The sequence below is a fragment of the Homo sapiens genome, chromosome 5, assembly GCF_000001405.40.
Source record: "Homo sapiens chromosome 5, GRCh38.p14 Primary Assembly".
NCBI lineage: Eukaryota > Metazoa > Chordata > Mammalia > Primates > Hominidae > Homo > Homo sapiens.
The window spans coordinates 46,485,901-46,499,015 of record NC_000005.10 but is presented as its reverse complement, the minus strand read 5'-3'; the positions used below and the strand labels follow the sequence as shown (position 1 = coordinate 46,499,015).

Genomic DNA, 13,115 nt, shown 5'->3' with positions numbered 1-13,115 from the left:
ATAGGCCTCAAATCGCTCCAAATATCCACTTGCAGATACTACAAAAATACCGTTTCAACACTGCTCTCTCCAATGGAAGGTTCAACTCTGTGAGTTGAATGCACACATCACAAAGCAGTTTCTGAGAATGCTTCTGCCTAGTTTTTTGTGAAGATATTCCCTTTTCCACCATAGGCTTCACAGCGCTCCAAATGAAAACTTGCAGGTCCTACAAAAAGACTGATTCAAAACTGCTCTCCCAAAAGGAAGGTTCAACTGTGTGAGTTGAATGCACACATCACAAAGCAGTTCCTGAGAATGCTTGGGTCTACTTTTTATGTGAAGATACCCGTTTCCAACGAATAACTCAAAGAGTTCCAAATATACACAGTCAGATACAGCAAAAGGAGTGTTTCACTCCTGCTCTGTCAAAAGACAGTTTCAACTCTGTTAGTTGAAGGCACACATCTCAATGAAGTTCCTGAGAAGGCTTCTGTCTAGTGTTTAAGTGACGATGTTACCTTTTCCCACATAGGCAACAAAGCGCTCCAAATGAATACTTGTGGGTTCTACAAAAAGTGTGTTTCAACACTGCTTTATCAAAAGAAACTTTCGAGTCTGTGAGTTGAATGCACACATCACAACGAACTTTCTGAGAATGCTTCTGTCTATTTTTCAGGTGAAGATATCACTTTTTCCAACATACGTAAAAAAGTACTCGAAATGAACACTTGCAGATTCTACAAAAAGGATGTTTCAACACTGCTCTATCAAAAGAAAGGTTCAACGATGTGAATTGAACACACACATCACAAAGGAGTTTCAGAGAATGCTTCCGTCTAGCTTTTTATTTGAAGGTATTTCCTTTTCCTTCTTCGGCCTCAAATCACTGCAAATATCCACTTGCGGATACTACAAGAAGACTGTTTCAAAACCGCTCTCTCAAAAGGAAGGTTCGACTCCGTGAGTTGAATGCACACGTTACGAAGCAGTTTCTGAGAATGCTTCTGTCTAGTTTGTTTCTGAAGTTATTTCCTTTTCCATCATAGGCCTCAAATCGCTCCAAATATCCACTTGCAAATACTACAAAAAGACTGTTTCAAAAGTTCTCTCTCAAAAGGAAGGTTCAACTCTGTGAGTTGAATGCACACATCACAAGGCAGTTTCTGAAAATGCTTCTGTCCAACTTTTATGTGAAGATTTTCCCTTTTCCATCATAGGACTCAAGTCGCTCTAAATATCCAATTTCAGATACTCCAAAAAGACTGTTTCAAAACTGCTCTCTCAAAGGGAAGGTTCAAGTCCGTGAGTTGAATGCACACATCACAAAGCAGTTCCTGAGAATGCTTCTTTCTAGTTCTTATGTGAATGTATCTCCTTTTCCACCATAGGCTTCACAGCGCTCCAAATGAGAACTGGCAGATCCTCATAAAAGACGGCCTCAAAACCGCTCTATCAAAAGAAGGGTTCCACTCCAAGAGGTGAATTCACATATCACGGAGAAGTTTCTGAGAATGCTTGGGTCTACTTTTCATGTGAAGATACCCGTTTCCAACGAATTCTTCAAAGAGTTCCAAGTATCCACAAGCAGATTCTACAAAAGGAGTGCTTAAATGCTGGTCTATCTAAAGACAGATTCAACTCTGTTAGTTAAATGCACACATCTCAGTGAAGTTCCTGAGAATGCTTCTGTCTAGTTTTTATTTGAAGATATTTCTTTTTCCACCATAGGCAACAAAGCGCTCCAAGGGAACTCTTGCAGATTCTAAAAAAAGCGTGTTTCTACACTGTTCTATCAAAAGAAAGTTTCAAGTCTGTGAGTTGAATGCACACATCCCAGTGAACTTTCGGAGAATGCATCTGTCTAGTTTGTATGTGAAGAGATTCCATTTACAACGAATTCCTCAAAGAGCTCCAAATATCCACAAGCAGATTCTACAAAAGCAGTGTTTTGAAACTGCTCTATCGATAGAAAGGTTCAACTCTGTTAATTGAACACACACATCCTAAGGAGTTTCTGAGAAACCTTCTGTCTGGTTTGTATGTGAAGTCATTTCCTTTTCCATCTAAATCGCCTCAAATCGCTAAAAGATCCACTCGCAGATACTACAAAAAGACTTTCAAAACTGCTCTCTCAAAAGGAAGGTTCAACTGTGTGAGTTGAATGCGCACATCACATAGCAGTTTTTGAGAACGCTTCTGTCTAGCTTTTTATGTAACGATATTTTCTTTCCACCATAGGCAACAAAGCACACGGAATGAAAACTTGCAGATTCTGCAAAAAGTGTGTTTCAACACTGCTCTATCCAAAGAAAGGTTCGAGTCCGTGAGTTGAACGCACACAACAGAAAGCGGTTTCTGAGGATGCTTCTGTCTAGTGTTTCTATGAAGATAATTCTTTTTCTACCATAGGCAACAATACGCTGCAAATGAACACTTGCAGATTTCACAGAAACTGTGTTTTAACACTGCACTATCAAAACAAAGGTCCAAGTCTGTGAGTTGACTGCACACATCACAAAGCAGTTTCGGAGAATGATTCTGTCTAGTCTAGTTAGAATGTGAAGATATCCCGTTTACAACGAATTCCTCCGAGAGCTCTAAATATCTGGAAGCAGATTCTACAAAAGCAGTGCTTCAAACCTGCTCTACCAAAGGAAAGGTTCAGCTCGGGGAATTGAACACAAACATCACAAAGAGTTTCTGAGAATGCCTCTGCCAATTTTTTTGTGAAGATATTTCCTTTTCCATCATAGGCCTCAAATCGCTCCAAATATCCACTTGCAGATACTACAATAATACCGTTTCAACACTGCTCTCTCCAATGGAAGGTTCAACTCTGTGAGTTGAATGCACACATCACAAAGCAGTTTCTGAGAATGTTTCTGCCTAGTTTTTTGTGAAGATATTCCCTTTTCAACCATGGGCTTCACAGCGCTCCAAATGAAAACTTGCAGGTCCTACAAAAAGACTGATTCAAAACTGCTCTCTCAAAAGGAAGGTTCAACTGTGTGAGTTGAATGCACACATCACAAAGCAGTTCCTGAGAATGCTTGGGTCTACTTTTTATGTGAAGATACCCGTTTCCAACGAATAACTCAAAGAGTTCCAAATATACACAGTCAGATACTGCAAAAGGAGTGTTTCATTCCTGCTCTGTCAAAAGACAGTTTCAACTATGTTAGTTGAATGCACACATCTCAGTGAAGTTCCTGAGGAGGCTTCTGTCTAGTGTTTAAGTGACGATATTACCTTTTCCCACATAGGCAACAAAGCGCTCCAAATGAATACTTGGGGGTTCTACAACAAGTGTGTTTCAACACTGCTCTATCAAAAGAAAGTTTCAAGTCTGTGAGTTGAATGCACACATCACAACGAACTTTCTGAGAATGCTTCTCTCTATTTTTCAGGTGAAGATATCACTTTTTCCAACATACGTAAAAAAGTACTCGAAATGAACACTTGCAGATTCTAGAAAAAGGATGTTTCAACACTGCTCTATCTAAAGAAAGGTTCAACGATGTGAATTGAACACACACATCACAAAGGAGTTTCAGAGAATGCTTCCGTCTAGTTTTTTATTTGAAGGTATTTCCTTTTCCTTCTTCGGCCTCAAATCACTGCAAATATCCACTTGCAGATACTACAAAAAGACTGTTTCAAAACCGCTCTCTCAAAAGGAAGGTTCGACTCCGTGAGTTGAATGCACACGTTACGCAGCAGTTTCTGAGAATGCTTCTGTCTAATTTGTATGTGAAGTTATTTCCTTTTCCATCATAGGACTCAATTCGCTCCAAATATGCATTTGCAGATACTACAAAAAGACTGTTTCAAAAGTTCTCTCTCAAAACGAAGGTTCAACTCTGTGAGTTGAATGCACACGTCACAAGGCAATTTCTGAAAATGCTTCTGTCCAATTTTTATGTGAGGATATTCCCTTTTCCATCATATGACTCAAGTCGCTCTAAATATCCAAATTCAGATACTACAAAAAGACTGTTTCAAAACCGCTCTCTCAAAGGGAAGGTTCAAGTCCGTGAGTTGAATGCACACATCACAAAGCAGTTCCTGAGAATGCTTCTTTCTAGTTTTTATGTGAATATATCTCCTTTTCCACCATAGGCTTCAAAGCGCTCCAAATGAGAACTGGCAGATCCTCATAAAAGATGGCCTCTAAACCGCTCTATCAAAAGAATGGTTCCACTCCAAGAGGTGAATTCACATATCACGAAGAAGTTTCTGAGAATGCTTGGGTCTACTTTTCATGTGAAGATACCCGTTTCCAACGAATTCTTCAAAGAGTTCCAAGTATCCACAAGCAGATTCTACAAAAGGAGTGCTTAAATGCTGGTCTATCTAAAGACAGATTCAACTCTGTTAGTTAAATGCACACATCTCAGTGAAGTTCCTGAGAATGCTTCTGTCTAGTTTTTATTTGAAGATATTTCTTTTTCCACCATACGCAACAAGGCGCTCCAAAGGAACTCTTGCGGATTCTACAAAAAGCGTGTTTCTACACTGCTCTATCAAAAGAAAGTTTCAAGTCTGTGAGTTGAATTGCACACATCCCAGTGATCTTTCGGAAAATGCATCTGTCTAGTTTGTATGTGAAGAGATTCCATTTACAACGAATTCCTCAAAGAGCTCCAAATATCCACAAGCAGATTCTACAAAAGCAGTGTTTTGAAACTGCTCTATCAATAGAAAGGTTCAACTCTGTTATTTGAACACACACAGCCTAAGGAGTTTCTGAGAATCCTTCCGTCTGGTTTGTATGTGAAGTCATTTCCTTTTCCATCTAAATCGCCTCAAATCGCTAAAAGATCCACTCGCAGATACTACAAAAAGACTTTCAAAACTGCTCTCTCAAAAGGAATGTTCAAATGTGTGAGTTGAATGCGCACATCACATAGCAGTTTTTGAGAACGCTTCTGTCTAGCTTTTTATGTAACGATATTTTCTTTCCACCATAGGCAACAAAGCACACGGAATGAAATCTTGCGGATTCTACAAAAAGTGTGTTTCAACACTGCTCTATCCAAAGAAAGGTTCGAGTCCGTGAGTTGAACGCACACAACAGAAAGCAGTTTCTGAGGATGCTTCTGTCTAGTGTTTCTATGAAGATAATTCTTTTTCTACCATAGGCAACAATACGCTGCAAAGGAACACTTGCAGATTTCACAAAAACTGTGTTTTAACACTGCTCTATCAAAACAAAGGTCCAAGTCTGTGAGTGGACTGCACACATCACAAAGCAGTTTCTGAGAATGATTCTGTCTAGTCTAGTTAGAATGTGAAGATGTCCCGTTTACAATGAATTCCTCCGAGAGCTCTAAATATCTGGAAGCAGATTCCACAAAAGCAGTGCTTCAAACCTGCTCTATCAAAGGAAAGGTTCAGTTCGGGGAATTGAACACAAACATCACAAAGGAGTTTCTGAGAATGCTTCTGTCTAGTTTGTATGTGAAGATATTTCCTTTTCCATCATAGGCCTCAAATCGCTCCAAATATCCAATTGTAGATAATTCAAAAATACCGTTTCAACACTGCTCTCTCAAATGGAAGGTTCAACTCTGTGAGTTGAATGCACACATCAGAAAGTAGTTTCTGAGAATGCTTCTGCCTAGTTTTTTGTGAAGATATTCCCTTTTCCACCATAGGCTTCACAGCGCTCCAAATGAAAACTTGCAGGTCCTACCAAAAGACTGATTCCAAACTGCTCTCTCAAAAGGAAGGTTCAACTGTGTGAGTTGAATGCACACATCACAAAGCAGTTCCTGAGAATGCTTGGGTCTACTTTTTATGTGAAGATACCCGTTTCCAATGAATAACACAAAGAGTTCCAAATATACACAGTCAGGTACTGCAAAAGGAGTGTTTCACTCCTACTCTGTCAAAAGACAGTTTCAACTCTGTTAGTTGAATGCACACATCTCAGTGTAGTTCCTGAGAAGGCTTCTGTCTAGGGTTTAAGTGACGATATTACCTTTTCCCACATAGGCAACAAAGCGCTCCAAATGAATACTTGGGGGTTCTACAAAAAGTGTGTTTCAACACTGCTCTATCAAAAGAAAGTTTCAAGTCTGTGAGTTGAATGCACACATCACAACGAACTTTCTGAGAATGCTTCTGTCTATTTTTCAGGTGAAGATATCACTTTTTCCAACATACGTAAAAAAGTACTCGAAATGAACACTTGCAGATTCTACAAAAAGTATGTTTCAACATGGCTCTATCAAAAGAAAGGTTCAACGATGTGAATTGAACACACACATCACAAAGGAGTTTCAGAGAATGCTTCCGTCTAGTTTTTTTATTTGAAGGTATTTCCTTTTGCTTCTTCGGCCTCAAATCACTGCAAATATCCACTTGCAGATACTACAAAAAGACTGTTTCAAAACCGCTCTCTCAAAAGGAAGGTTCAACTCTGTGAGTTGAATGCACATGTTACAAAGCAGTTTCTGAGAATGCTTCTGTCTAGTTTGTATCTGAAGTTATTTCCTTTTCCATCATAGGCCTCAAATCGCTCCACATATCCACTTCCAAATACTACCAAAAGACTGTTTCAAAACTTCTCTCTCAAAAGGAAGGTTCAACTCTGTGAGTTGAATGCACACATCACAAGGCAGTTTCTGAAAATGCTTCTGTCCAATTTGTATGTGAAGATATTCCCTTTTCCATCATAGGCCTCAAGTCGCTCTAAATATCCAATTTCAGATACTACAAAAAGACTGTTTCAAAACTGCTCTCTCAAAGGGAAGGTTCAAGTCCGTGAGTTGAATGCACACATCACAAAGCAGTTCCTGAGAATGCTTCTTTCTAGTTCTTATGTGAATGTATCTCCTTTTCCACCATAGGCTTCAAAGCGCTCCAAATGAGAACTGGCAGATCCTCATAAAAGACGGCCTCAAACCCGCTCTATCAAAAGAAGGGTTCCACTCCAAGAGGTGAATTCACATATCACGAAGAAGTTTCTGAGAATGCTTGGGTCTAGTTTTCATGGGAAGATACCCGTTTCCAACGAATTCTTCAAAGAGTTCCAAGTATCCACAAGCAGATTCTGCAAAAGGAGTGCTTAAATGCTGGTCTATCTAAAGACAGATTCAACTCTGTTAGTTAAATGCACACATCTCAGTGAAGTTCCTGAGAATGCTTCTGTCTAGTTTTCATTTGAAGATATTTCTTTTTCCACCATAGGCAACAGAGCGCTCCAAAGGAACTCTTGCGGATTCTACAAAAAGCGTGTTTCTACACTGCTCTATCAAAAGAAAGCTTCAAGTCTGTGAGTGGAATTGCACACATCCCAGTGAACTTTCAGAAAATGCATCTGTCTAGTTTGCATGTGAAGAGATTCCATTTACAACGAATTCCTCAAAGAGCTCCAATTATCCACAAGCAGAGTCTACAAAAGCAGTGTTTTGAAACTGCTCTGTCAATAGAAAGGTTCAACTCTGTTAATTGAGCACACACATCCAAAGGAGTTTCTGAGAATCCTTCTGTCTGGTTTGTATGTGAAGTCATTTCCTTTTCCATCTAAATCACCTCAAATCGCTAAAAGATCCACTTGCAGATACTACAAAAAGACTTTCAAAACTGCTCTCTCAAAAGGAAGTTTCAACTGTGTGAGTTGAATACACACATCACATAGCAGTTTCTGAGAATGCTTCTGTCTAGCTATTTATGTAATGATATTTTCTTTCCACCAGAGGCAACAAAGCACACGGAACGAAATCTTGCGGATCCTACAAAAAGTGTGTTTCAACACCGCTCTATCCAAAGAAAGGTTCGAGTCCGTGAGTTGAACGCACACAACAGAAAGCAGTTTCTGAGGATGCTTCTGTCTAGTGTTTCTATGAAGATAATTCTTTTTCTACCATAGGCAACAATACGCTGCAAATGAACACTTGCAGATTTCACCAAATCTGTGTTTTAACACTGCTCTATCAAAACAGAGGTCCAAGACTGTGAGTTGACTTCGCACATCACAAAGCAGTTTCTGAGAATGATTCTGTCTAGTCTAGTTAGAATGTGAAGGTGTCCCGTTTACAACGAATCCCTCCGAGAGCTCTAAATATCTGGAAGCAGATTCCACAAAAGCAGTGCTTCAAACCTGCTCTGTCAAAGGAAAGGTTCAGCTCGGGGAATTGAACACAAACATCACAAAGGAGTTTCTGAGAATGCTTCTGTCTAGTTTGTACGTGAAGGTATTTCCTTTTCCATCTTAGGCCCCAAATCACTACAAATATCCACTTGCAGATACTACAAAAAGTCTGTTTCAAAACCTCTCTCTCAAAAGGAAAGTTCAAATCTGTGAGTTGAATGCACACATCACAAAGCAGTTCCTGAGACTGCTTCTGTCTAGTTTGTATGTGAAGATATTTCCTTTTCCATCATAGGCCTCCAATCGCTCCAAATATCCACTTGCAGATACTACAAAAATACCGTTTCAACACTGCTCTCTCCAATGGAAGGTTCAACTCTGTGAGTTGAATGCACACATCACAAAGCAGTTTCTGAGAATACTTCTGCCTAGTTTTTTGTGAAGATATTCCCTTTTCCACCATAGGCTTCACAGCGCTCCAAATGAAAACTTGCAGGTCCTACAAAAAGACTGATTCAAAACTGCTCTCCCAAAAGGAAGGTTCAACTGTGTGAGTTGAATGCACACATCACAAAGCAGTTCCTGAGAATCCTTGGGTCTACTTTTTATGTGAAGATACCCGTTTCCAACGAATAACTCAAAGAGTTCCAAATATACACAGTCAGATACTGCAAAAGGAGTGTTTCATTCCTGCTCTGTCAAAAGACAGTTTCAACTATGTTAGTTGAATGCACACATCTCAGTGAAGTTCCTGAGGAGGCTTCTGTCTAGTGTTTAAGTGACGATATTACCTTTTCCCACATAGGCAACAAAGCGCTCCAAATGAATACTTGTGGGTTCTACAAAAAGTGTGTTTCAACACTGCTCTATCAAAAGAAAGTTTCAAGTCTGTGAGTTCAATGCACACATCACAACGAACTTTCTGAGAATGCTTCTGTCTATTTTTCAGGTGAAGATATCACTTTTTCCAACATACGTAAAAAATTACTCGAAATGAACACTTGCAGATTCTACAAAAAGTATGTTTCAACACTGCTCTATCAAAAGAAAGGTTCAACGATGTGAATTGGACACACACATCACAAAGGAGTTTCAGAGAATGCTTCCGTCTAGTTTTTTATTTGAAGGTATTTCCTTTTCCTTCTTCGACCTCAAATCACTGCAAATATCCACTTGCAGATACTACAAAAAGACTGTTTCAAAACCGCTCTCTCAAAAGGAAGGTTCGACTCTGTGAGTTGAATGCACACGTTACGAAGCAGTTTATGAGAATGCTTCTGTCTAATTTGTATCTCAAGTTAATTCTTTTTCCATCATAGGCCTCAAATCGTTCCAAATATCCACTTGCAAATACTGCAAAAAGACTGTTTCGAAAGTTCTCTCTCAAAAGGAAGGTTCAACTCTGTGAGTTGAATGCACACATCACAAGGCAGTTTCTGAAAATGCTTCTGTCCAATTTTTATGTGAGGATATTCCCTTTTCCATCATAGGACTCAAGTCGCTCTAAATATCCAATTTCAGATACTACAAAAAGACTGTTTCAAAACCGCTCTCTCAAAGGGAAGGTTCAAGTCCGTGAGTTGAATGCACACATCACAAAGCAGTTCCTGAGAATGCTTCTTTCTAGTTTTTATGTGAATATATCTCCTTTTCCACCATAGGCTTCAAAGCGCTCCAAATGAGAACTGGCAGATCCTCATAAAAGACTGCCTCAACACCGCTGTATCAAAAGAATGTTTCCACTCCAAGAGGTGAATTCACATATCACGAAGAAGTTTCTTAGAATGCTTGGGTCTACTTTTCATGTGAAGATACCCGTTTCCAACGAATTCTTCAAAGAGTTCCAAGTATCCACAAGCAGATTCTACAAAAGGAGTGCTTAAATGCTGGTCTATCTAAAGACAGATTCAACTCTGTTAGTTAAATGCACACATCTCAGTGAAGTTCCTGAGAATGCTTCTGTCTAGTTTTTATTTGAAGATATTTCTTTTTCCACCATACGCAACAAGGCGCTCCAAAGGAACTCTTGCGGATTCTACAAAAAGCGTGTTTCTACACTGCTCTATCAAAAGAAAGTTTCAAGTCTGTGAGTTGAATTGCACACATCCCAGTGATCTTTCGGAAAATGCATCTGTCTAGTTTGTATGTGAAGAGACTCCATTTACAACGAATTCCTCAAAGAGCTACAAATATCCACAAGCAGATTCTACAAAAGCAGTGTTTTGAAACTGCTCTATCAATAGAAAGGTTCAACACTGTTAATTGAACACACACATCCTAAGCAGTTTCTGATAATCCTTCTGTCTGGTTTGTATGTGAAGTCATTTCCTTTTCCATCTAAATCGCCTCAAATCGCTAAAAGATCCACTTGCAGATACTACAAAAAGACTTTCAAAACTGGTCTCTCAAAAGGAAGGTTCAACTGTGTGAGTTGAATGCACACATCACAAAGCAGTTTTTGAGAATGCTTCTGTCTAGCTTTTTATGTAACGATATTTTCTTCCCACCATAGGCAACAAAGCACACGGAATGAAATCTTGCGGATTCTACAAAAAGTGTGTTTCAACACTGCTCTATCCAAAGAAAGGTTCGAGTCCGTGAGTTGAACGCACACAACAGAAAGCAGTTTCTGAGGATGCTTCTGTCTAGTGTTTCTATGAAGATAATTCTTTTTCTACCATAGTTAACAATACGCTGCACATGAACACTTGCAGATTTCACCAAAACTGTGTTTTAACACTGCTCTATCAAAAGAAAGGTCCAAGTCTGTGAGTTGACTGCACACATCACAAAGCAGTTTCTGAGAATGATTCTGTCTAGTCTAGTTAGAATGTGAAGATATCCCGTTTACAACGAATTCCTCCGAGAGCTCTAAATATCTGGAAGCAGATTCTACAAAAGCAGTGCTTCAAACCTGCTCTACCAAAGGAAAGGTTCAGCTCGGGGAATTGAACACAAACATCACAAAGGAGTTTCTGAGAATGCCTCTGCCAATTTTTTTGTGAAGATATTTCCTTTTCCATCATAGGCCTCAAATCGCTCCAAATATCCACTTGCAGATACTACAATAATACCGTTTCAACACTGCTCTCTCCAATGGAAGGTTCAACTCTGTGAGTTGAATGCACACATCACAAAGCAGTTTCTGAGAATGCTTCTGCCTAGTTTTTTTGTGAAGATATTCCCTTTTCCACCATAGGCTTCACAGCGCTCCAAATGAAATCTTGCAGGTCCTACCAAAAGATTGATTCAAAACTGCTCTCTCAAAAGGAAGGTTCAACTGTGTGAGTTGAATGCACACATCACAAAGCAGTTCCTCAGAATGCTTGGGTCTACTTTTTATGTGAAGATACCCGTTTCCAACGAATAACTCAAAGAGTTCCAAATATACACAGTCAGATACTGCAAAAGGAGTGTTTCATTCCTGCTCTGTCAAAAGACAGTTTCAACTATGTTAGTTGAATGCACACATCTCAGTGAAGTTCCTGAGGAGGCTTCTGTCTAGTGTTTAAGTGACGATATTACCTTTTCCCACATAGGCAACAAAGCGCTCCAAATGAATACTTGTGGGTTCTACAACAAGTGTGTTTCAACACTGCTCTATCAAAAGAAAGTTTCAAGTCTGTGAGTTGAATGCACACATCACAACGAACTTTCTGAGAATGCTTCTCTCTATTTTTCAGGTGAAGATATCACTTTTTCCAACATACGTAAAAAAGTACTCGAAATGAACACTTGCAGATTCTAGAAAAAGGATGTTTCAACACTGCTCTATCTAAAGAAAGGTTCAACGATGTGAATTGAACACACACATCGCAAAGGAGTTTCAGAGAATGCTTCTGTCTAGTTTTTTTATTTGAAGGTATTTCCTTTTCCTTCTTCGGCCTCAAATCACTGCAAATATCCACTTGCAGATACTACAAAAAGACTGGTTCAAAACCGCTCTCTCAGAAGGAAGGTTCGACTCTGTGAGTTGAATGCACACGTTACGAAGCAGTTTCTGAGAATGCTTCTGTCTAATTTGTATCTCAAGTTATTTCCTTTTCCATCATAGGCCTCAAATCGCTCCAAATATCCACTTGCAAATACTACAAAAAGACTGTTTCGAAAGTTCTCTCTCAAAAGGAAGGTTCAACTCTGTGAGTTGAATGCACTCATCACAAGGCAGTTTCTGAAAATGCTTCTGTCCAATTTTTATGTGAGGATATTCCCTTTTCCATCATAGGACTCAAGTCGCTCTAAATATCCAATTTCAGATACTACAAAAAGACTGTTTCAAAACCGCTCTCTCAAAGGGAAGGTTCAAGTTCCGTGAGTTGAATGCACACATCACAAAGCAGTTCCTGAGAATGCTTTCTTTCTAGTTTTTATGTGAATATGTCTCCTTTTCCACCATAGGCTTCAAAGCGCTCCAAATGAGAACTGGCAGATCCTCATAAAAGACGGCCTCTAAACCGCTCTATCAAAAGAAGGGTTCCACTCCAAGAGGTGAATTCACATATCACGAAGAAGTTTCTGAGAATGCTTGGGTCTACTTTTCATGTGAAGATACCCGTTTCCAACGAATTCTTCAAAGAGTTCCAAGTATCCACAAGCAGATTCTACAAAAGGAGTGCTTAAATGCTGGTCTATCTAAAGACAGATTCAACTCTGTTAGTTAAATGCACACATCTCAGTGAAGTTCCTGAGAATGCTTCTGTCTAGCTTTTATTTCAAGATATTTCTTTTTCCACCATAGGCAACAAAGCGCTCCAAAGGAACTCTTGCAGGTTGTACAAAAAGCGTGTTTCTACACTGCTCTATCAAAAGAAAGTTTCAAGTCTGTGAGTTGAATGCACACATCCCAGTGAACTTTCGGAGAATGCATCTGTCTAGTTGGTATGTGGAGATATTCCATTTACAACGAATTCCTCAAAGAGCTCCAAATATCCACAATCAGATTCTACAAAAGCAGTGTTTTAAAACTGCTCTATCAATAGAAAGGTTCAACTCTGTTAATTGAACACACTCATCCAAAGGAGTTTCTGAGAACCCT

At 39.3% G+C, this 13,115-nt stretch overlaps 1 annotated feature.

Annotated features, from left to right (window-relative positions):
• Positions 1 to 13,115: part of a centromere (Linear centromere model derived predominantly from reads generated in PMID: 17803354. This region does not represent an actual centromere sequence, as long-range ordering of repeats and unmapped WGS contigs is not provided by the model. For details of model production, see http://arxiv.org/abs/1307.0035.) that runs on past the window's edge.